This window comes from Homo sapiens, chromosome 17, assembly GCF_000001405.40.
Source record: "Homo sapiens chromosome 17, GRCh38.p14 Primary Assembly".
Taxonomy (NCBI): Eukaryota; Metazoa; Chordata; class Mammalia; order Primates; family Hominidae; genus Homo; species Homo sapiens.
Genome location: NC_000017.11, coordinates 63,017,575 through 63,044,522, shown reverse-complemented (window position 1 = coordinate 63,044,522; position 26,948 = coordinate 63,017,575). Strand labels below are relative to the sequence as shown.

At 36.6% G+C, this 26,948-nt stretch overlaps 1 protein-coding gene across 20 annotated transcripts in view, besides 1 other annotated feature; it reads right to left on the bottom strand.

Moving 5' to 3' along the window:
- The window catches only part of TANC2 (tetratricopeptide repeat, ankyrin repeat and coiled-coil containing 2), a 461,469-nt gene that overhangs the window by 383,181 nt on the left and 51,340 nt on the right, over nt 1–26,948 (bottom strand). The gene's annotated exons all lie outside the window — the stretch shown is intronic.
- Nucleotides 15,821–16,115: a silencer, noted in NCBI's record as "tiled region #13093; HepG2 Repressive non-DNase unmatched - State 24:Quies, and K562 Repressive DNase matched - State 9:DNaseU". NCBI's record gives its function as "represses a minimal TATA promoter and a strong SV40 promoter by Sharpr-MPRA in HepG2 and K562 cells {active_cell/tissue: HepG2 | K562}" and the evidence as "EXISTENCE:reporter gene assay evidence [ECO:0000049][PMID:27701403]".

Genomic DNA, 26,948 nt, shown 5'->3' with positions numbered 1-26,948 from the left:
AATTCAAATTCATATTAGGAGGGAAATGGATGGAAGAAATGGGCTCATAAAATAGAATACTATACAATACATAAAAGAAACATACTGTACAATACATAAAAGAAACAAACTAAGTTTCTAACAAGAGCAAAAAAGCAAGTTGCAGAATGACATAGAGGAAATGATACCACCTATTATATTTTAAAACACACAATACTAAACAAAAATCGTTCATGGATACATTTATACTGATAATCTTCATCTCTGATAAAGGAGATTCAAACATTAATCTTTTAAAATCAAATTCTAAATCTGTCTGGTCTATATATTATCTATATCTGTGTGCATCTGTGTTAGGATACAGTTACAGCAAAGAGAACCAGTAAAAAACCAAGCCATGTTTTATTTGGAGAACTAATGGAATGCACATATTAGAAAAATCAGATGAACATTTAAGAAAATTCATTCTTAACGCAAAATAGAGAATGAACTAAAGGGTACTGAGATTGGAGACACAATAATTTAAGTGACATGAGATTCTGAAGAAATGAGAATGAAGAAGTAAAGAGAAGACAAAGTTCAGAAATACACAGAAGTTTTAATCAACTGGGCTTGATGACTGATAGATGTTGGCAGCCATTTTGGGGAGTACAGAAAACTTAATATATTTTTCCAACTGCTTCCTGTATATACCTGCTATGGGCTTTTAAATTGCTTTCAGAACTGTACATCTGCATTAGCTGATGATGATAATGGCCATCAGCTACATCTAAATGATTGAAAAGGGATTTTAGAAAACAAAACATCAGTTAAAGCAATTTTGAAAGATGTAGCAGAAAAGTTTTCTCTGCTTTGCAGTTTCTGCCAGAATATACATATAATGTATGCTTCTGAGGGCTAAAGATACTGTTGAATGCTAATACAGCTTAATCTTCAATTACTAGAGGAAAAGATGATGAAAGAGTTCAAAGTACATGAGTACAAGTCCCGACTCCACCATTTACTATATGACTTTGGTCAAGTCACTTAACTTCTTGCTCTCTGCCTCAGTTTTTTCATCTGTTAAATGAGTAAAATGATAGAATTTATTCCACAAGGTTGTGAAAATTAAATCAGCATCATTATGTATGGGTTTATATATGTATGTATATGGGTTTATAATTATGTATGGGTTTATATGCGTATATGTGTGTGTGAATACTAATCAAACATGTTTGTGATTATTATCTGTACATCAATTACTGAGAACCCATTAAGTGATGGGGCATTATACTATGTGCTAGAGAAGTGGCAATAACATATTTACACTTTTGCCCTCTTAAAGTACATAGACTTTACAATGTGAGAGACAAGATACGTGAATGTATGTGCTGTCTTCAATCTACTTAACTAATTAATTGCTGAAGCTATTTCTCAATCTAACCAAGCCTATCAACAATTTTCATGTCATGTAATCTTTCAACAATTGCTAAAAATCAATTGAAATAGGTTATGGTTATACAAAGAAAAGTCTTTTCTAAAATACAAATAGTTTTATGAACAGGTCTTCAATAGAAAAAAATAAAATACAGATCTATGGATGTTGTTACTTTGTAAACTATATTTTCATTTTTATCTCTAAGTTTTCCAGTTACTCTATGTCTTCCATCCTTAATGTAGGCTAGTCTAGAAGATTAAAAAATATATAAAACTCCCAGAAACTTAGCTCTCAATTCCACCTCCCCATTCCAAGAATGTAACAAATTCTTCACTGTTAATTTCTTCTACCCTTAACCACACTGTGAATCTGAACGATTCATAAACAATACCCTCAGAAACTACTTAGGTCTTAAAATTACAAAGACAATGATGGCTAAATAAATACTAACAAGAGTTTTTTATTGCTTAGTTGAAAATGAATGTAAAGCCTTTTGTTTTCATGCTGTAATCGAGTATTTTTTAATACAATGTTTATTGTCAAAAACAGCTTATACAACAGTCATTCCCTCATCATCTTACTTTTTAACACTCTTTCAACAAAAGATATCTTAAATGCATCCAGCTCTCTATTGCAAATTTACAGTAGTAATCCTTGCCAGCCATTTTGTTTTCAGCTTGTAACACTTGCAGCCAGCTGCCTTCAGCCTGACTCTATTAGCATATTGGATAATTTAGAAAATAAGCACAGAACAGAAACTACAAAATATAGTTGACTTTTATCAGGACATATCTATATATATTTTCTTTAATATGCTTTATTTTATGATGCTTTACTTCCTTTCAATATTATTCATTCTTTTAATGTAAATGCTCATTCCTGCTCACAGTAACTTTCCCTCCCCCAGATCCTATAACTGAATTTGACCTATTACCATTTAAATATAAGAATTTTCAAATTTTAGTAGAATAAACTACAGGCATATTTTAAATATTTTCTGTAAACGCACAGAAGGGTTGAATATTTGGTACTATAATTTGCAACTATATTCCAGCAGACTATCTAGCCAAGAATAATAAATACGTAAAAGCTAACATACATTATTCTCACATCTCAAGGGTATTTCTAATAGCTAGCAGACAGCAAACAATTTTCCACCTGTTCTGACTTGCAGCATCCTGCTGTTTGCGTGTCAATAACAATGTGCCCTCACCAAGCATCACTAAAGTCTTAGATGACAAATTATCTAATGCAATTTTAATATGATGGGAAAGGGTGGGACCAAAGAGTTACTATGAGTGTCCTGCTCTTCAGAGCTCTTTTCCATCTCATCCATCTCCTTCCCCCAACAAGTCCCACTCATTCATATTTCATAAGTGTTCTGAAATTATGTTATTCATTAACCCAGTCTATCAGTTAACATAAAACTCTTTTTAGAGAGACTCTTCTAGTTCATTACAGAATACTACTTAGAAAGTTCATTAACTCGATTGAATATAACACTCCCTTTAAGCAACAACAAGCAAAGCAAAAAATAAAAATAAAAAGAGAAGCTGAAAAAAAATGTTCAATGATTAAGATTACTGAAGTGCTTTAGCGACTTCATTTTCTCTTCCAAACCCCTTCCCATCTCCGAGGCATTTTTGTTTTTATGTGATACTAACCACCCAGGCTGCTGTAGAAGCCTCTAGTTAGAATGGATTTCGAGGCTGCTGTATCTTGTGAGGAACCAATCAGATTTCTTTGTTTCATCTGCAACATTCCATCAGGATTATATAACATTTTAGATCCATGAAACATTTCAATAATATAGTATATTTCAATCTGTAGTTAGTTACTGTCACTAAACTTGACATAAAAAATCTCACATTACTCTTTTGTGTTATTCGATAAAATCAAAGAAATATAGTACAAATGAGAGATTTGTTTTTAATTTTTTTTTCTTTTTGGGGAGAACACTTTGCTTTGGCTATAAAAAAGGAGTTTCTGAAAATATACAATATGAGTACTATGGAGACTACTAGGATTAGTGCTGAATCCTTATTATTTTTGTCTACAGTAAGGTGGGTAAGGTAATCCAACACAGTGGCAGCCAGCCAGCCATACAGTTGTTAATTCTTATCACATACAAAATGTCTTTAGCATGGAATAAAACATTATACATTTCTAAGCTCAGGCTGAATCCTTTGCAAATCTTTTAAAAGCACAGAAAAATTAAGTATTTAAAATGTTTGGACAAATATTTTCTCAAATAAGAAAATCTGAACTCTGAATGTCATACTCCAATTTACTACCCACAACACTAACTAAAATAATATACCAGCAGCATTTTTAGCTATATGATCAGAATACTTGCATTACACTTGTAATGGAACCATACACATATTCTCTATCTCTCTCTGCCATAGATAAATGCTGCATAACTTAAATACTGCTCTTCTGTGCTATTAATACAGCAACTCAAATATTCAAAAACATAGTAAGCTGCAACCTGTGAATCTAGTATTTTCCCTCTTTTTACAACTCAAAGGCATCCCATAGATGATGGTTACAAATCAGCACAGGATTAAAATAGTGCCCCCAACACATTAAAAGCTGACTCTGCTGGGTGTGGCTTAAGTAAACATCTCGTCTCAACTGGACAGCTACCCAGTAACACAGCCACAGAAACCGAAAATATGTGAGTACATAAGTAAAGTGCTTCTTTTGGAGGGGGTGGGAAACTAAGCCTCCATGTTTCATCTATGCTTGATGCTCAATTGTTTCTATACTGTACTTCTGAAATGACAGTGCCTTGAGTCAATGCTGAACATTGTTCAAGAAACCAAGGACAGAGAAATGTTACTTGTCCTACTTCCTCTCCTTTATTTTATGCTCCCTGTCTACAACATGGCCGTTCTTACAAACATTTTGCTTTCATAAAAGAGGTAATCATTTAAATCAAGACTATGTGCAATGCGAACTCACACTGCATTACAGTCATCAATAAAATATGAAGTGCCAACTCCAAGGTTCATTCTACTGATTTTCCATATCTCACCACAGAGTGCGCTACTAATGTTTTCTGCTATTATAAAATGAACAATATAGGGAAAGAGACATTGGCAGGAGCTGCAACAAATGTACAACAGAGAAAATATAAAAACTAAAAGTGCTTACTTTTTAAAAATCCAGTATTAATAGATATAACCTTCACAAACACCTATCTATATAGACACACACATTACACATGTTTAGTATAAATATAAATGTTTATAAACTACCATGCATGCATCTAGTAATGCTATAAATGCAATATACCTGAACCTCTTTATATAGAGGGCATGAAGATTTTAGAACTACAACAGTTTCATCCTTACTGGCCAGAATCAAATATTAAAACAGCTGAAGACATCTGACATACTGAACCACATCCAAGGCTTTTATCTTGTTAACAATTTTCTCTCCTGTTCACTGTAGCAAACTCACCTCTGGATCATATTGACGGTTATCTTTTTCCCAAGCCCTGTACGTGCTGCACCATTTTGTTTGTCTTCTGGACAGTGGAGAAATTGTCAGAACAGCAGTGAAGGAGTGTACTGGAGTCAGCAGAGTCAGTGCCAGCCTCCTACTGCAGTCTGTATATTGAACGCACTCAAACCCACAGGTGCCTACGTAAAATCCTCCAGCTGCAGCCTGCAACTTAATGTTTCTTTCAGCAGTAAATCTGTATGCTACTTTCACTTTGCTTTAATCCAACAAAAGGACAGAATGCACAAGAGTATGCCAGATGATTTTGCAAAAAATACTTATATAGACATTGTCTCTATTAAGTAGCCAAAAATAAATGAATTTTTTAATCATGAAGATTCAGAAGGACAATCACCAAAAGAGAAATGTATTTCTAACATTTCTAAAATTCTAAACTGATAATTTTTTCAAGAAAATTTAACATTAAAGACTAACACGATATGTCTTAATTTTCTCACATAAATAGCTTATGAAAGTAATTTTTTACATACCATATCATGTATAAATGCATAAACAGGCCTTCCTCCCATACCTTTCATCAACAAATAATTCATTTATTAGGAGGAAATATGGAACTTATCTGATAAAAGGCAAAGTGAATCTAAATAAATCAATGCTCACTCAATAAACGACAGATAAAACAAGAAACAGAGGGTCACAGTCCTTTCACATAAACTTCAAACACATACACTCTTATCCACTAGAATTAAAAAATTGGAAGAAACCTTTAAAAAGACAAATCTAAAACTTTGATTTTTCAGATTAACAAATTAAGGACAGAGAGGTTAAGGCTAAAGTACCTTTCCCAAGGTCATAAAGTTATTCTATAGCACAGCCTGGTCTTTTAAATACACCTTTTTAGTAAACACTTAATAACTACTGAAACTCACTCAAGATTAAACAGTAACCTGTATATTGCTATAACTATTACATAAAGTCTATAGTTTAAAAAAAAATTATGAAAAAGAAATATCCAAGCCCAAATAACTAAACAGGTGAATTCTACCAAACATTTAAAGAAATAACAAATTCTACAATTTCTTCCAGAAAACAGAAGAGCAGAAAATACTCCCAATTCATTTTATGAGGACGGAATTACTCGAATGTCAAACCAGATAAAGACATTACCAAAAAAAGAAAACTACACACCAAAATCCCTTTATGTACATAGAAACAAAGATCCTCAACAAAATATTAGAAAATAAAATACAGTAATGTAGAAAAAGAACAACAAACTATGAGTAGGTGGGGTTTATCCTGGAAATGCTAGACTAGTTTAGTATTTGAAAATCATTCAATGCAATCTACCATACTAACGGTTCAAAGAAGAAAACTCATATGATCTTATTACTTGATCAGAGAAAAAGTATTTTTTTAAAAAATTAGCACTTGAAGAAAACTAGAAAACTAGGAATACAGGGGAACTACTTCAACTTGATAAAGAACATCCATAAAATATCTACAGCTAGCATCATATTTATTGGTGAAAAGCAATGTTTCCCCCCAGCCAACGCTCAGGAAACAAGGCAAGAATACCACTCCCCCGACTCTTAGCCATCATTGTACTAGAAGTGCTGGCCAGTGCCATAAAATGAGAAAAAGAATAAAGAGCATACATACTGGAAAGGAACAAATAAAACTCTCCCTATTATCAAAAGACATTATTGTCCACTTAAAAGATTCAAAGGAATCTACTAAAAAACAAAAACAAAAAACATCGATTAGAACTAATAAGTTAGTTTAGCAAAGTCATAGGATACAAAGTAAAAAAAAAATCATATACTTATGTTTTATTTTATTTTTTGAGATGGAGTCTCGGTCTGCCGCCCAGCTGGAACACAGTGGCACAATCTTGGCTCACTGCAACCTCCACCTCCCAGGTTCAAGTGATTCTCCTGCCTCAGACTCCCGAGTAGCTGGGATTACAGGTGCCCGCCAGCATGCCTGGCTAATTTTTGTATTTTTCGTAGAGACAGGGTTTTACCATGTTGGCCAGGCTGGTCTTGAACTCCTGACCTCAGGTAATCCGCCTGCCTCAGCCTCCTAAAGTGCTGAGATTACAAGGGTGAGCCACCGCACCCAGCCTATATATATATATGTTTTAAATATAAGCAATGTACAATAAGAAACCAAAATTTTAAAAACAAGAGTCCACCCACCCCCTTATCTGTGATTTCTCTTTCTATGGTTTCAGTTACCCACAGTTAACTACGGTCAGAAAATATTAAATGGAAAATCCCAGAAATTACCAATTCATAAGTTTTAAATTACACCCCATACTGAGTAGTGTGATAAAATCTCAAGCCATCCTGCTCAGGATGTAAATCATCCCTTCCAGCATATCTACTGCTGTATACTGTACCTGCCGTTAGTAACTTCTGGCATATCCATGCTGTATACCCTACATGCCCGTTAGTCGTTTGGATATGCTTAGTAGTGATCTTAGTTATCAGATCAACAGATCACATCAAGAAGGATGAATAAAGTACAATAAGATATTTTGCGAGAAAAGACCACATTTATATTTGCTATAATATATTGTTATAATAATTGTTCTATTTTACTATTGTTATTGTTGTGAATATCTTACTATGCGTAATTTATAAATTAAACTTTATCATAGGTACCTATGTATGTGTAAAAAAAGACATAAGTACATATAGGGTTCGGTGTTATCCATAGTTTCAGGAATCTACTGGGGGCTGTGGTGTGTATCCCCTCTGGACAAGAGGGCACTATTGTACCACTAGCTCAAAAAAAAAAAAAAAAAACTTACATGTAAGTCTAATGAAACATGTACAAGATCTATATGCTGGAAACTACCAAATGCTGATGAAAAATATCAAGGAAGAACTAAACAAATGGAAAGACATAACATGTTCATGTACTAAAAGAAGATCCCACATGGAAAAAATGTTCTATCCCAGTTGATCTATAGATTTAATGTAATTCCACCCCAAATCCCAGAAGGATCTTTTTATAGATAGACAAGATGATTCTAAAATTTATATAGAAAAGCAAAGGATCTAAAATAGCTACGACAATTTTGAAAAAGAACAAAGTTGGAGGAATTATACTACCCTATTTTAAGACTTACTCTAAAGCTACAGTAATCAAGACAGTGCAGTACTGGCAAAAGAATACAAAGAGATCAGTTAACAGAACAGACAGTGCAGAAATACATCTAAATAAATACAGTCAATTGATTTTTAACAACAGTGCAAAAGCTATTCAAAGGAGAAAGTGTAGTCTTTTCAACAATGGTGTTAGAACAATTACACAACCCTACAAAAACAAACAAACACATCAACCTTAACCTCACACTTTATATAAAAAACAATAAATCATACATCTAAATATAAAACTTTCAGAAGAAACACAGGAGAAATCTTTATGACTTGTGATTAGCCAAAGAGTTTTTAAATATGATAGCAAAAACATGAACCATTAAAAAAAGAAAAATGAACTTTATCAAACACTGTTAAGAGAATAAACAAAGCAAGCAAAACACATATCCAACAGAAGACTTGTACACAGAGCACACAATGAACTCTTAAAATACACCAATGAGAAAACAAACAACCAAATAAAAAATGGGCAAAAGATCTGATGACACTTCACCACACAGGATACACGGAAGACAAGCACATGAAAAGACGTTCATTAGCCATCAGAGAAATGCAAATTAAAACCACAATGAAATACCACTACACACAGAATAGCTAAAATTTTTTACAATTGACAATATCAAGTGCTACCAAGTGGGTGGAGCATTTGGAACTCTTATATGTTGCTGGTGGGAATGAAAAGGGTACAGCTACTCTGGAAAACTGCTTGGCAGTTCCTTGTGTAGTTAAACATATACTACCACATGATCCAACAATCCTACTTCTTAGGCATCAGCCCTACAGATACGAAAACTTATGTTCACACAAAAACCCATATATGAATGTTTATAGTGGCTCTATTCATAATCACCTAAAATTGGAAATAATCCAAATGGTCTTCAGTGGGTGAATAAATGAGCAAACAATACATCCATACAATGGCATACCATTCAGCAATAAAAAGGAACACTCGCTAGTACTTTTTGACACAACAACTCAGATGAATCTCAAAGGCATTATGCCAAGTGAAAGAAGTCAGTCTTCAAAGGTCATACACAGGCATACCTCAGAGATTTTGCTGGTTCCGTTCCAGACCACTGCAAGAAAATGAAGATCGCAATAAAGCGAGTCACACAAATTTCTTGTTTGCCCAGTGCAGACAAAAGTTATGTTTATGATACACTATAATCTATTAACTTTGTATTATGTTTGTAATAGCATTATATCTAAAAAGAAATGTATATAACTTCATTTAAAAATATTCTCTTGCTAAAAAATGTTATCATCTGAGCCTTCAGCAAGTTGGGATCTTTTTGCTGGTGGAGGGTCTTTCTCTATGTTGATGGATGCTGACTGATCGGGGGGTAGTTTCTGAAGGTTGGTGTGGCTGTGACAATTTCTTAAAATAAGACAACAAATGAAGTTTGCCACATCAAATAACTTTTCCTTTCATGAAAGATTTCTCTGTAGCAAATGATACTATATTTGATGGCATTTTACTCAGTAGAATTTCTTTCAAATTGAAGTCAATCCTTTCAAACCCTGGCACTGTTTTATCAACTAGGTTTATGAAATATTCTAAATTATTTGCTGTCATTTCAACAATGTTCACAGCATCTTCACCAGACACAGATTCCATCTCAAGAAACCACTTTCTCTGCACATCTGTAAGTAACTTCTCATCCATTCAAGTTTTATCATGAGATTACTGCAATTCAGTGCATCTTCAGGCTGTATTTCGAATCCTAGTTCTCTTACCATTCCCACACATCGACAGTTACTTCCTCCAATGAAGTCTTCAAAGCTATCCATGAGGGTTGGAATCAACTTCTTCCAAACTTCTGTTAATGTTGACATTTTGACCTCCTCCCATGAATCATAAATGTTCTTAATGGCATCTAGAATGGTGAATCCTTTCCAGAATTTCCATTCACTTTGCCTAGATCCATCAGAGGAATCACTATCTATGGCAGCTATAGCCTTGAAAAATGTATTTCTTAAATAATATGACTTAAAAGTCAAAATTTACTCCTTGATCCATGGCTGAAGAATAAATGTTGTGTTCGCAGGCATGAGAATAACATTAATCTCCTTGAATGTTTCCATCAGAGCACTGTGCAGTAGATCTCAACGGTGGGCCTAAAATATTTAGTAAGCCATGCTATAAACAGACATGCTGTCATCCAGGCTTTATTGTTCCATTTATAGAGCACAGGTAGAGTATATTTAGCATCATTCTTTAGGACCCTAGAATTCTGGAAATGGTAAACGAGTACTGGCTTCAATTTAAAGTCACCAGCTGCATTAGCCCCTAACAAGAGAGTCAGCCTGTCCTTCAAAGCTTGGAACCCAGGCACTGACTTCTCTCTAGCAACAAAGTCCTAGATGGCATCTTCTTCCCATACAAAGCTGTTTCATCTACATTGAAAATCTGTTGTTTAGTGTAACCATCTTCATAGCTCATTGGTTTCCCAGGTGAAGGACGGGGGAAGAGAGTGACCAGAAACGAATATCATGATGTAACCTGTAAGGTGATGTATGCTAATTGTGGTGGTAGCTACACACATTTACACATGTGTGAAAATTCATAAAACCGAACACCAAAATAAAAAAGTAAATTCGACTTTATAGTTTTTAAAAACTTCAATTACCACTGGATGGTCATGACTTCCAATTCTCTCTCTCTTCCTCTGCCTTCTCCTGTGGGTCCATAACCCAAATATCTAACATCCCCTGGATAACCCATCATCACCTCAAATTTCACATTTCATAAAATGAATTCATTACATTTCCTCCCAAACCTCAAATGAAGAGCACCATCATTCACCCAGTCACTTAACCCAGAAACTTCCTTTATAAACATGGTGTTGTCCTTGAATGTAAGTTTAGTTATATCATTATGACATAGGAAACATCTATTTGGTTCTGCCTCCCACCCCCAGTTCCTGACACAGAGCTTCTAAAACCCTTATAGTTTCCTCAAACGCTTATAGTGTTGGGATGATAAGGGCATCTTTTATTATAATATTTGATCTCAGTCACCCAGTAATAGACACAAGAGCTACTAAGAGCCTTGGTATTTTACTACCAGGAGAGATAAGAGTGTCTTTTTGTATGTTAATGAGATTACTGGTGGCTGAAAGCCCCAGAATAGCTTCAGGATGGGGGATGACTGCCAGAGGAACCAATCATCAAATCAGGGGAAACTTTCAGCTCCACCCACCCCAACTTCTGGGGAACGGAAAAGGACTGGAGATTGAGCTCAATCACCAATGGCCAATGATTTCATCAATCATGCCTACATAATGAAGCTTCCATAAAAACTCTAAACAATGGGGTTGACAGAGCTGCTGGGTCAGTGAACCTCATGTCAGGAGAGTGGGGCACCCCAATTCCACAGGAGCAGAGTTCCCATGCTCAGATCTTATCCTATGTACTTCTTCATCTGGCTGTTCATATAGATTCTCTGTAATATCCTTTATAATAAACTGGCAAATGTTAAGTGTCTTCCTGATTTCTGTGAGCTGTTCTGACAAATTACTGAACCCAAGGAGGGAGCCATGGGCACCTAGAAATTATAGCTTGTAGGTCAGAAGAAGTACAAGGGTCTAGACTTGGCAATTAGTGTCTAAGTGGGGGGCGTCTTGTGGGACTAGTCCTCAACCTGTGGGGTCTAACTAACTCCTAGTCATCAGAATTAAATTGTAGGATACTCAGTTGGTTTTGGAAGAGTTGGAGAATTGTTTAATGGAACACATCTGGTGTCAGAATGTGTGAGTATAGAACAAGTTGTTCTTTTAGTGATCTGATATATAGCACTGCTGTATCTCCAGTAGCTCTAGCAAGCACTTGATAAGTATTTTTGTTAAGTAAATTAAAAAGTAAGACTAAGGCTCTTCCTTCATTTGACCTACACCCAATCAATCATGTAGTTCAGTCGATTCTTTTCTCCATACCACCACCAGGCTCTTAGTTCAGACCCTCATTATCTCTTGCCTGGATGCTGCTGCAATAGCTCCTACAGATGGCATGTCATTTTGCCTACTCAGAGTCACATACGCCCCTTTCTGGGAAGTGCCCTTTAAAAACTCTCACTCCCATACTAATTTACTCCCTCCCTCTACCATAGATGATTTGCACTGGGATAGGCAGCTAACCCAAGCTGAGATGATCACAAACCTCAGCCACACCCTAGTCCAAAGTGTAACTGACTTGTCAAAGGGTGGACACCAGACCTAAATAAGACCGGAGTTGACCTACCCATGAGCTTATGGATGTGAAAACAAAAGAACTGAATCAGTATCCTTCTCTGGGTGCCTGGACTATAACATACAAAACTCAGTTGTTGGTAGCTATGTTCTACTATTTGAACTAAAACAAATGTGCAAGGTTGCAAGAGAATGAAATAGATATGCAGAAAGAAATAGATATAAGAAATGGGAGTGAACCACCACAGTACCAAACTACCTATATATAGTTCACAAAATGTGTCAAGTTTTCTCACAACTTCGTCTTTACACTTGCTGTACTCTGTGCCTGAAACATCCTCTTCCCCATTTCTCAAAGTGGCTAACTGCTATGTAGGCTTGGTGATAGTCACCACCTCCTCCAAGAATTGTTCCATTTCCCTCCAGTCTGAGATTGAGTCCTTCCCTTGGAACTCCCTTAGTACTCCATGTAGAAGGTTCATCACAATACTTCTCATACTATATTTTAGTAATACTGGTTTATTTATTACAGGCAGTATAATCTGGCAAAGACTATCTCTTTTATTTCTAAGTAAGCTGTGTCCCCCAATACTCTACTTGGTCCACATTAAGTGCTCACCCTATAATCAGGGATGGAAAAATAACACAGAAAGGAAGGAAAGAAGTATCTAATAATACCTCATCCTTAGAGCATGAATCCACTGGAAGCTTAACAGAAAGGAAAACTGAATGGTCTGACCATTTTTTAAAATGGAAACAAAGTAGAACAGCAAAGTAACACAATATTCTGAGTAAAGAAGTGACTATAGTGACTAGTATATGAATAATACCAGAGCTAAGATCATGAAGTGTGATGTAAATTTTTGAAGCAAATAGTATAGCCAGGCTTTACTTTGAAAAAAATCATTTTTTCTTCAATATTCTCTTTCTCCCAAAGAACATTCCCCAGCCAAGCCTTCTGTGGTTAGGATGAAAGGTGACAACAAAAAAGTAGACAAATATGTTTCTAATACTTGAGTTTGGAAAAACCTGACCTCTTTCAGGTACAAAAAAGATTTATGTCATTAAAATTATACATTTAGGAAAGAAATTAAATAGGAGCAAATCTCCCATCCACTCCTATTCCAGAAGAGAATTCCCCTGGTCAAGAACAATCATAGAAATCTATCTTCTGGGATGATCTGCTGGTTGGTTTCCCAGGCAGGCCTCTGATACTAAAATCCTATAGTTTGGGGCCCAGTCCTCAGCTTTGCAGTCAAGAACCATGTCATTTAAGATCTTCGAAGTGGTAAGCCTCAGAAAGATTAATTTATACTACAACAGCTCCTCATTTCTGCAAACTTCTTATCAAAATATTTGGATTATTAACAAACTTAAGGTGGTCTTGTCTTTCCTATCTTAGGCAAATTTGGGCTTGTCCTTCTAACTCTTGGTATGAGAAAGACTGCTAATTTTTAAGATTAAAAAAAACAAAACTAGGTTAGAAAAACAAAGTGGCAGACTCCACTAGTTGCCTATCCAATCCTTTATTTCATGCTAAAAGAACGCTGACTTTATTTTAGGTATTTGCTTCAAGGGAGGCTGGTTCTCAGGGGTTGAACTTTGATTAGTAAATGAATCTCAATAACAACATTTGCAATTTCATTAATTGGCTTAAGAAAGGTTAAGTGATATAACCTGGCCAACTGGATGTGAGGTGAATCGGGGGGTGGGGGGTGGCATGGGGTGTCTGTCTGGAAAGTTTCCCTTAACTTAAAAAGGGACCCAAGAAGGGATTAGTTGTTCTAGTAGTCTATGAACAATGCTGTGTGTGGATGTAAAAGTTGAAGGTACTGCAGTCCTCTTGCAGCTATGTAAGGACAAACCTGAGAACAATAAACAATACACTGAAAATGGCAGAGAGAAAGAAATTGAGTCTTTGGTGATGCTGTTGAGCTTCAGAATTAATTTACCTGTAATTGTTCTACTGCTGGAATTCTTAGTTATATGAATGTATAAATCCCCTTCAATGTCTCAGTATTTTAAATTGTATCTCTAGTAATTCTAACCATCCTAACTACCACAATAACAAAACTGACCAGGGAGGAGACTCTACGGGATCTAATCAAATTCAAATTTTAACATAAAGTTCATATTTCCTCTAAAAAGTTCAAGTTTAATAAATATGGGGTCAAGAGGACTAAGCTTAGATGTTAAAATGATTTTTACTTACCAGTTTAAAACCCTGCAGTGGCTCACTTGCAGCTTTAAGGATATAATGCAAAGTCTTTAGCATGGCACACAAAGCATGTCATTAACTGATGAGTGATTACTGTGATTAACTGTCCATTCTTTTTAGCAACTTTCTTACTCACCCTAGGTACCAGAAATAGAAAGAATTACTGCAGTTACTGGAATGAACCAAATAGTCTCCTCTCTCCATCTACTAGCAAATGCTGCTTTCTCTATTTGGACCACTATTAACTTGTCCTTCACAATTCAACTTGCATTCTCCTCTCCTCCCAGCCTATCCTCCAAGTATATTGTTGCTGTTGGTTTAGAAATCTCTCTCCTTTATTAGACTTTGAGCTCCCTGAGACTAGGAAATATCTCCATCATGAATCACAATTTCTGATATACAGTAAGCACTAAAAAATCTCTGTGGAGTGAATTAATGAACCAAAATTGGAGGCAGCCATAAGTTCTTTCCATTACAGTATAAGACAACACAGATTTATAAAATATACCTATCATCAGAGAAAGTTGTACTGAACAGCACTGTTCTAAAGGGTTTGTAAATTATTTCAAAATGATTGAAAACTAGTTATATCTAATTTTTTTAAATCACAAAACATAAGACCAGAATAATTATGACTTTCTCAGAAAATTTATGCCATTTAACAAATATGTATTATAAAACATTATGCTATAGACCAAGGATACAAAATGGATAAGAGATATTTCTGTTCCAAGTAACACTCTTGGTCTGGCACAGACTACTGGCTAAGCAGCTTTACAATAATTATAAATATTATTTACCAAGTTCTTTCCTAATCAAAACTATGGAGTCCAAAAATAAAATCTTTAGTGAACAAAAAGGAAATAATCCCAAAATTTTCAAATTTTTATACACATTTCAAGCTAACGTAGGCTGTGTAATATATGAGGATAACTCTGGTTAAAGTACTTAACATGGTGCATAATAAACATTTAATAAATGTATGCTGAATCTGAATCAACTGTATGAAGAGATGAACAAAGTATTTTTTTCCAAGTTTAAATCTTCAAATACATAAGGATACTTCAATACCATAGGCTCCTGTAAAATAGTAAAACCATTTTTTGTATAAATAAAATTAGTATTATATCTTTATCATATATCTTTTTATCAATATTATTTCACTGATATATCCTACTGACTACATGAAGTAATTGTTTTCCTTTTTCCCTTTTTTTCTTTTAACAACAACACTGGCCTGAGAACATATGAAGTAGTTTTATAAAAGACATTTCAGTAGAAAGTTATTGAGCCATGGAGTTACCATATGAAAGATGGCAGAATATGCTACCCCAAAACATGTAACTTTGGCATAAGGATTATTTTGAACTAAAGGCACTTGAAAACCAGCAGATCCAAGAAGGGCACTCTGACTTTCCTTTTTCTTCCTGAAAAGTGGAGATGAAACTCCAATGTAAAAGCTGTCCTTCCTGTACCTGGAGAAAAGAAATATTCTTATCACCCGAGATGGGGAGTTGAGGCAAATCTGAACCAACCAACCTTGTAAGACAAGCCCTTATCTTCCTAGCCATTTCTCCATGATTAACTGCCCTAGCCCAAGCCCCTGTGTCTTTTTATGTTTTTACAATTTACTACTCTTTGTCCAACTTAGTACATATATGTCTAGGTCATCATTTCCCTGTGGAGGCATACATGTAAAAATCTGTATGCTTTTCCTCTATTAATCTGTCTTATGTCAATTTAATTCTCAGGTCCAGCTGGAGACCCTGAGAGTAGAAGTGAAGTTTTACTTCCCCTATACAGGCAAAACATTCTGTCTCATTCTAATAATAAAGACAACATTTTCAATGTTACTTGTTCCTTCAATATAACACAAGTGAAATATTTAAAAATTAATATTAAAGGAAAAAACAAACCCTACCTTGTTCATTCTTGGTTTACAGACATGACCAGCTTATTTTCCATCTCGGTAAGGTATTAAAGATCCATTTGGGGCTCCTCTAAAGAACCGGGACTTCTGATGGCAAGATTTTTAGTGACAACTCAAAGAATCATGACTCTAGGTCAGAGCACTCTAAATCTGGAAAAAAGTAAGTTAACCTATTTTCTCTGGGGAGTCAAATAGAACCAGAATAGAATAGAAAAAAAATTCTATGAAAATGGAATGAGGTGGGGGAGTGCGGAACTTGTTTTTAAGGTCAAATTTTTGGTTACTGAGTTTCTTTAACGTAAGGAATAAAATATGTAAGAAAGATGCTTCCCATTTATAGAAATGTATTCTAGAGACCCTTGAGGACAAAGAGTCTATGATTGCTGTATCATACCAATTTTAAAACTATCATTTGCTCTCCCTTTAATATCGCACTCATTTCTTGGTTCTATCATTAACTTTTCACTATTATGAGTACATGTATGGGTTTGTATTAAAATTCCCATATATCTCAAAAAAACAGAAGCATAACTATATTATCATAAGGAGACCATGAGATGGTATAGACTAATACCATAAATTTGCAAAAGCACAAATCTGTTATCAAGAGGTTTTTTTTCTTTGAAATAAAGTTCTCTAAGAAAACAAAAATCTAAATATATTCAGATGAAAATTTTGACAGTATTAAAATAATTTATCATTTTAATTTGGCACAAACATTGTTCTATATCAAAATATACCTATGAAAAATAGCGTATTAAGGACAAAATCATATATTTAACTCATTATTTAAATCCCTTTTTTAAAGAATCAAAAATCAGTCTATTACTCAATATTTCTTTTTCTTCGTTGCACTCTCAAATTTATGAATGTAGAATTATAAGTGGCATACTGATATACACTTGGATTTTTACAGTAACCGATCTTCAGCAATAGCATCCAAACTAAACCAGTTTAAATTGTTTAACTTAATACTTTAAAAAAATTGTTGTTAAAATGTGAATTGATCATTTATGAAAGTAGTTTTACCAGGGAAACTTCAATCAGTACTAAGAAACCACTATTTTAAATTTCAAGTGCCTTGTACAAGTTGAGGATAGGAAGAAACTAAATAGAATGAAAATGAACTTCCTTTAAATGGGAAAGAATTAGTCACAAAACGACTTGTGCTGACTGCATAAGCCTTACATAGCTTTCTGTCTTCCTTCTTTACCAACATGGAGGGATGCAGCAAACTTTGAAAGTACCAACCTATGAAAGTAGATGATCAGGGAATAAATCTTTAGGCTAAAATATTGCAGTACAGTGCTAAAAAGGCTTGTAACATTTAAAATTGTTCTGAGGTCCTGGGGAAGCATAATCCTAAAGTTGGAATAAGAGTAATTTACAAAGAAATTCAGAGTATGGAAATAAACCACAGAGCTAAATAAATTACATTTGAAAGCAAAATTTAGTGCAAAAGTTTAACATTTTATCTCTGAATAGTTATTCATTCAATATATGATCACTGAATATCCAATATGAGCCTGGAACAATGCAATGTACCAGTGTGCCAGTCTCTCTAACCAGAAATTTCAGAACAAATTATTTCTTCCCATTCTTTTCACTTCCCAGCCACTCTAGTAAACAAATCTTATATAGTCTACCTCAAAAATGTCTTCCTTGTGTATCCTCTGTCTCTTTATTCCTACTGTCACTTCTTGAGCCTTTTCATTGTCTCTTAATTAGTATTTCCTCACTGCAGTCTATTCTATACACTGATGCCAGAGTTATCCTTAAAATGTCATAAAGAATGTTTTCATTCATAAAACAAATATTACTAAGTACTTGCTATGTGCCGGGCAGGTACTGAGGATACAGCAGTGTAAAAGAGAATGGACTTACATGAAACTTGTACTCTAGTAGGAAAGACAGATAATAAAGCAGAAAAGCAAGACATATAAGATGAATAATGATAATCGCTACAGAGACAAAATTTAAAAGGGAGGACAAAATAAAAAGGTGACATGAAGAAGGGGTTAGAGTCTTAGATCTGGTGGCAAGGAAAGACTTCACCGAGAAGGTGATTTCTGATTAGAAATATCAATGAAGTAAGGGAGCTAACTAACATTCTAGGCATAGGGAGCAGCATGCATAGGAGTCCTCGAGTAGGAGGAGGTTAATGTTGCTTAAAGGAATGAACAAAAATAAAAGGGAGATTTACAGGATACGAAGTCAAAGGTCACCAGCAACAGATATTACAGAATCATGGAAGGACATAGGTACCTAACCAACTCATGTTGATATTTTATTTTTTATTTTATTTTATTTTATTTTATTTTATTTTATTTTAATTTAATTTTATTTTATTTTATTTTTGAGATAGGGTCTCACTCTGTCACCCAGGCTGGAGTGCAGTGGTGCAATCACGGCTCACTGCAGCCTCAACCTCCCAGGTTCAAGCGATTCTCATGCCTCAGCCTCCCAAGTAGCTGGGATTACAGATGTGTGCCACCACACTCAGCTAATTTTTTTATTTTTAGTAGAGATGAAGTTTCGCCACGTCGCCCAGGCTTGTCTTAAACTCCTGGCCTCATGTGATCCGCCCACCTCAGCCTCCCAAAGTGCTGGGATTACAGGCGTGAGCTACCATGCCTGCCCCGTGATCTCTTATTTAAAGACTGTATTTGGCACCTCATTGCTGAAATTCTTCAATAGCCTTCACTATTTCTCATTCCATTCTACCTTCCAACCCTCTCTCCCTACTTACCCATCTCCAAAGATTCTACCCAAAGATAGTAAAAATGAAGAAGGCGTCCACAACCGGAAGACATTATGAAACTTCATTCACCAACTTCTAATCATCACATGTGCCACTCTAGTAGGGAATCCCTAACATTTTCAGTAAATATTGTATGAACATATAAGCAGGTTAAAATGATTGAGACCAATGTTCTACAGCATACTTAAAAAAAAATTACCATCAACTGTATTAACACACAGTTAATAAGGAGGAAAGCCATGGAGAAATACTAATGGTAATTAGTTTAGTTTACATTTAATGTCTAATAGGGTGATTTTTCAAATAATAAAACATATAGGAAACTGACATATTTAATATGTTTCTATGAAAAACAAGAAAAAAATCAAAGAGCAAAAACTTACACAAATTTCTCAAAGTATTTCTCAACTCTAGCACAAGAAGCCACCAAATTTTTGGCTACTTGTTGCTCTGGTATAATCCTTAGCAACTTAAAATCTCTTACATCTGAGTCACTACTTCAAAGAAAAGACAGTTTCCAGGTCTCAGTTTAGACTTAATTCCACTCAACTGTCTCATTTATTCAGGGACAGCAATATACATACAGTGAGAATTCAATGGCTTCTATTCCTACTAGCTGTATAATCTTGGGCAATACATTTAATATCTCACCTATAAAGTCTCTCACATATTTGCTACACAGATTAAATTAGGTAATGCACATAAAAGTCCTTTTCCTCTGTGAAATACAGAACACACGCAAATGTGTGTATACTCCATCTTGAATAGGGGCTGGGTAAAATAAGGCCGAGACCTACTGGGCTGCATTCCCAGTAAGTTAGGGCATTCTTAATCACAGAATGAGATAGGAGATCAGCACAAGATACAGGTCGTAAAGACCATGCTGACAAAACAGGGTGCAGTAAAGATGCCGGCCCAAACCCACTAAAACCAAGATGGCAATGAGAGTGACCTCTGGGCATCCTCACTGCTACATGCCCACCAGTGCCAAGACAGTTTACGAATGTCATGGCAATGACAGGATGTTACCCTATATGGTCTAAAAAGGAGAGGCATAAATAATCCACCCTTTGTCTAGCATATAATCAAGAAATAACCATAAAATTGAGCAACCAGCAGCCCTCAGGGCTGCTCTAAGGAGTAGCCATTCTTTATTCCTTTACTTTCTTAATAAATTCGCTTTCACTCTAATCTATGGACTAGCCCCGAATTATTTCTTGCACGGGATCCAAAAACCCTCTCTTGGGCTCTGGATCGGGACCCCTTTCTGGTAACAGTTCTATTAAACTTTCAAGGAATAAATAATTTATATGATAAAGAAGCACCACAAAATACAGAAATTATCACAATTCATCTTGTAAAGTTAGTAAAACCCTAATATTAAAACAACAATAAAAAAAGGATGAATGGAAATAGATATGAACACATGAGTGTGAATACATGTGTCTATCTGATGAGAAGCACTATTACAGAATTGCTACAAATTTGTGGAATATAAACAAAACCAGTCAGTTCAGATTTGTTTCAAATGCAATTTCAAAGTTCTTAGCACTTAGTTCACTCTCCAGTCACATTTTATTTTATAGCACAGTATCCTCTGCCACCAAATCAGAATCCTTATTTTCTGTTATAAGGCCACATTTTGATACTTCCTTGAAAGATGTTTCATTTCAGCACAAACTCAAAACTCTAACATCCTCCTGTAAGCCTGTGAAATCAAAACAGGTTATCTACTTCAAAGATACAGTAATGGGACAGGCAGCAGGTAAATATTCCCACGCCAAAAAGGAGAGAAGCAAAAATTAAGGAGTAATCAGCCCCAAGCAAGTCCCAAACTGAACAAAGCAGACATTGAATCTTACAACTCCAGAATAATCTTTCGGCCAGGGACAGGCACAATGGCATATTCCTGTAGTCTCAGCTACGTGGGAGGCTGAAGTGCAAGAATTGTTTGGGCCCAGGAGTTCGAGTCTAGTCTGGGCAACATAGCTAGACCTCATGTCTTAAAAAAATACACACATACACACACACATACACACACAAAATAATCTTTCGCTCTATGTGCCATCACCTGGACACTCTAGGTAATACCCCCTGTTGGGCAGGGGTGAGCTCCCAAGGCCTCAGGCAACCCAGCTCCCATGACTTTGCTGGGCTCAGCCCACATAACTGTTCTCACAGGATAGAGTTGTACACTGGTGCTTACAGCTTTCCTGGGCCAGTGTTGCATGCTGCCAGTGGCTGCAGCAGCAGCCCCACTTCCAAGTCCCTCATAGGCATTGCCCTTGTAGGGAACCTCTGTGGTGGCTCCACCCCATGGCAAGTTTTTGCCTGGGCCTGTGGGCTTTCTACAACATTCTTTGAAATCTTGAAGAAAAGCACTCTTCCACACCTCTTGCATTCTGCACACCTGCAGAATTAGCACCACACAGACACTGCCAGGCTTACTGCATGCGTCCTCTGGAGCTGTGGCACAAGCCACATCTAGGCTCACTTGAACCACAGCATGTTGCTGCCACAATCTATGGCATGTACCTTTTGGAGAGGTGAGTCAAGCTGCACCTGGGGCCACTTGAGCCACACAGCTGGTGCAGCCAAGCAGGACCACACTGGCATGCAAGGAGTAGACACCTGAAGTCCTGGGTAGTAGCCCATCTCCTAAAGCCATTCTGCCCTCCTCAGCCTCTGGGCCTGTGATGGGAGGTACAGCCTCCAAGGTCTCTCAAATACCTTGGGGACCATTTTCCCATGAATTTGATGACTAGCACCTGGCTCCTTATTCATGCTAATCTCTTTAGTAACTGGTCATCAGGTCACACTCTTGTTTTGTCTTTCCAAACATTCTTTTTCATTCTTTACATGGCCAGGCTGGGAATTTTTGAAATGTTTATGCTCTGCTTCCCTTTTAATTATAAATTATATCTTTAAATCATCCCTTTGCTCCCATAGCTCACTGTAAGTGGCCAGAAGTAGCTACACAGCATCTTGAGCACTTTGCTACTTAGATTTCTTCCACCAGAAATCCTAGTTTGTCATTCTTTTTTTTTTTTTTGAGATGGAGTTTCGCTCTGTGGCCCAGGCTGGAGGGCAGTGGCATGATCTCGGCTCACTGCATCCTCTGCCTCCTGGGTTTAAGCAATTCTCTGCCTCAGCCTCCCAAGTAGCTGGGATTACAGGCGCCCACCACCATACCCGGCTAACTTTTTTTGTATTTTTAGTACAGATGGGGTTTCACCATCTTGCCCAGGCTGATCTTGAACTCCTGACCTCGTGATCTGCCTGCCTCAGACTCCCAAAGTGCTGGGATTACAGGTATGACCCACCGCGCCCGGCCTAGTTTGTCATTCTTAAATTCCACCTTCCATAAAGACCTAGGGCATGGACACATTGCAGCCAAGCTCTTTGCTACTAACAAGAATAGCCTTTATTCCAGTACCCAACAAGATATTCCTCATTTACCTCTGAAATCTCATCAGAATGGTCTTTACTGTCCACATTTCTATCAATATTCTGCTCATGACCACTTATGTAATCTCAAAGAAGTTCCAGATTCCCCTAGTCCTAGGGATTTCTTGGTGTCTTCACCAGAATTACCCTTAACGCTCTGTTCATGGCAATACAGGCTTTTTCTAGCCTGCTCCTGCAAATTCTTCCCTCTACAATCTATTATTCACTTTCAAGCTGCTTCTACATTTTCAAGTATTGTTATAGCAACAACTCCACTCTCTCAGTACCAATTTTGTCTTAGTCCATTTTCTGTTGCTATAACAGAATACTTGAGACTGGATAATTTATAAAGAAGAAAGGTTTATTTTGGCTCACAGCTGTGAAGGCTGGGAAGTCCAAGATCAGGTGGCCCATCTGTTGAGGGCCTCGTGATGCTTCAACTCATGGCAGAGACCAGAAGGTCAAGCAGGCACATTTGAAAGAGACAGGGGAAAAAGGAGGCTGACCTGCTTTATAACAACCAGCTCTCACAAAAGCTAATGCAGTCTCACAAGAAAGACATTAATCCACCTTAAAGACCTAACTCATCTCTTAAAGGTACTACCTCCCAACACTACCACATCGGGGACCATGCCTCAACATGACTTCTGGTGGGAACACATCATATTCAAACCACAGAACCCTGGAAGAAAAAATATATTTTTCTAGTATAAAAATACTTGCATTACATACTATTGCACATACATCGTTTATTATGAGCATTCATTATTCAGAGCGCAATAAAAATTTTAACTAAGTTCAATATGCAATGGATAAAAAAATTCCAGTGACATGGTTTGGATATTTGTCCCCTCCAAATCTCATGTTGAAATGTGACCCCCAATGTTGGAGATGGGGCCTCAAGAGGTATCTGGGTCATGAGGGTAGCTCATGAAGGGTTGGTGCCCTCCCCATGGTAATGAGGGAGTTCTACTTAATTCGTTCATGTAAGAGCTGGTTGTTTTAAAGAGCTCCTACACCCCTCTCTCAATTCCACTCTTGCCATGTGACACACTTGATCCTGCTTCACCTTCCCCTAAGAGTAAAAGCTTCCTGAGGCCTCATCAGAAGCCAAGCAGATGCCAGTGCTATGCTTCTTGCACAGCCTGCAGAACTGTGAGCCAAATAAACAAACATCTTTTCTTTATATTACTCAGTCTCAAGTATTCCTTTATAGCAATACAAAATGGACTAATACAAACAGTCACACATGATTCTAACAACACCTTGTATTTACAGATGAACTGACTTTTGTGTACATGGGGTACACAGAATTTAACCCAGACTCAAATATCAAGCAACCAGCATACTATACTTAGTACTTAATGATTAATGAATAAATATTTGTTGACAGAAATTAAACACACCATCAATAAAAGTAAAACTTCTGCCTGGGCAACATCATAAGACCTCGTCTCTATAAAAAAAATTTTAAATTAGCCAGACATGGTGGCGTGTGCCTGCAGTCCCAGCTACTCAGGAGGCTGAGGCAGGAGGATTTCTTGAGCCCAGGAGTTTAAGACTGCAGTTAGCTATGATGACACCACTGAACTCCAGACTGGGCAATGGAGCAAGACTCTGTCTTGAAAAAAAAGAAAAAGAATAAAACAATAAATTGGACTTCATCAATATTAAAAACTTTTGCTTTATAAAAAGCCCTGTTAAGAGGATTAAAAATACAAACTATACAGTGGCTTACACCTGTAATCCAAGCACTTTGGGAGGCCAAGGCAGGCGGATCACCTGAGGTGAGGAGTTCAAGACGAGCCTGGTCAAAATGGTGAAACCCCGTCTCTACTGAAAATATAAAAAATTAGCCAGGCATGGCGGCACATGCCTGTAATCCCAGCTACTGGGGAGGCTGAGCCAGGAGAATCGCTTGAACCCGGGACGGGGAGGTTGCAGTGAGCTGAGATCAGGCCACTGCACTCCAGCCTGGCAACAAGAGCGAAACTCTGTCTCAAAATACAAACAAACAAACAAACAAACAAAAACTATAGACTGGGAGAATATATTTTCAAACCATGTATCTGACAAAGGCTAGAATATATAGCGAACTCTCAAAACCCAACACACACACACACATACATCCAATTGAAGACAGCCAAAAGACATGAAGAGATATTTCACCAAAGACATGCAAATAGCAAATAAGTACATGAAAAGATGATTAACATGATGAGCCATTACAAAAATGAAAATCACTCAATGAGTACAATGTATGTTATTCAGGTGATAGATATTCTAAAAGCCCTGACTTCACCACTAAGCAATCTAGGTATGTAACAAAACCACACCTATACTCAATAAATTTATACAAATAAATAAAAATTATTTTAAAAAACTACAATGAGATACCTCTATATACCTATCAAAATAGCTAACATAAAGCCAGGCACAGTATCTCACACCTGTAATCCCAGCACTTCGGGAGGCCAAAGAGGGCCGATCACTTGAGGCCAGGAGTTTGAGATCAGCCTGGGCAACATGGTGAAACCCAGTCTCTACAAAAAATACAAAAATTAGCCAGGGGTGATGGCATGCAACTGTAATCCCAGGTACTCAGGCGGCTGAGGCATAAGAATTGTTTGAACCCAGGAGGCAGAGGTTGCAGTGAGTCATGATCACGCCACTGCATGCCAGCCTGAGTGACAGAGCGAGACTCTGTCCCCATAATAAATAAATAAATAAATAACATTAAAAATAGTGACAAGACCAAATGCTGGTAAGGATGAGGAGAAACTGAATTACTTATACATTGCTGGTGGGAATGTAAAATGGAAGAGTTGGCACTTCCTTTATAAATTAACATGCAATTAAAACATGAGCTGGCAATTGCACTCCCGGACATTTGCCCTAGAGAAATAAAAAATTATGTTTATACAAAACCCTGTACACTAATATTTTTCACAACTTTATTCAAAATAGCACAAATTGGAAACAATTCAGCTGTCCTTCAAAGGGTGAATGGTTAAACAGTGGTATAACCATACCATGGAATACATGCAATAACAAGCAACAAATATTGATACACGACAACCTGGATGAGTCCTGTGAGAATTATGCAAAATTTAAAAAGCCAATCCCAAAAGGTTACATACTGTACAACTCATTTATATAACATTCTTGAAGTGATAAAATTTTTCAAATGGATTAGCAGTTATTATCAGGGGTTAACAAGGGAGCAGGTGTGAGAGGGAAGGGGGTACTGTTATTAAAAGGCAAACCAAGGAATCCTTGTGGTGATGGAAATGTCCAGTATCTCAACTGTTATCAATGTTAATATCCTGATTGTGATATTATACTATACAGTTTTGTAAGAGATTACCACTGGGGGAACCCAAATATACACAAGATCTCTCTATATTATTCCTTTTTTTGTTTTATTTTTTGTTTATTTTATTTATTTATTTATTTTTTTTTTTTGAGACAGAGTCTCACTCTGTCGCCCAGGCTGGAATGCAATGGAAAGATCTCAGCTCAATGCAATCTCTGCCTCTCAGGTTCAAGCAATTCTCCTCTCTCAGCCTCCTGAGGAGCTGGGATTACAGGCGTGTGCCAGCTAATTTTTGTATTTTTAGTAGAGACGGGTTTCTCCACGTTGGCCAGGTTGGTCTTGAACCCCGACTTCCCGGTGACCCGCCGACATCAGCCTCCCAAAGGGCTGGGATTACAGGCATGAGCCACGGCGCCTGGCTATTCCTTACAACTGCAGGTAAATCTACAATTATTTTAAAGTAAAACGTTTAATTTAGAAAATAACTGCTCTTTTTTTTTCATAGACAGGGTCTTGCTCTGTAACCCAGGCTGGAGTGCAGTGGTGCATTAGCAGTTCACTGTAACCTCAAACAACTCCCAGGGTCAAGTGATTCTCCTGCCTCACTAGGACTACATGTCACCATGTCTGGCTATTTTTTAATTCTTTTTTTTAGAGACAAGTTCTCACTATGTTGCCCAGGCTGGTCTCCAATCTCTGGCCACAAGAGATCCTCTTGCCCTGGCCTCCCAAAGTGCTGGGATTACAGGAGTGAGTCACCGCGCCCTGCTGCTGCTGTCATATTGTTCACAAGTTCTAGTAATTACTCGCTCTATAAATTATAAGAAACATTTTTCATTAAAAAATAATCTCTAACCAATTTGAGGTTTAGTACCCATAACTGTTTTTCTTACACTAGAAATAGATGTTTTGTTAACAAAAAAATTGTATCACACTCGTTCCATGTCTAGTCTGAACAGAAAACCTTGAATCCACTGAGGAGTGACTGGAGAGTATAAAAGTAACATGATTTCCATGGAAACCTGGAGATAAAGAAATGTTTCAGAATTTGTTTG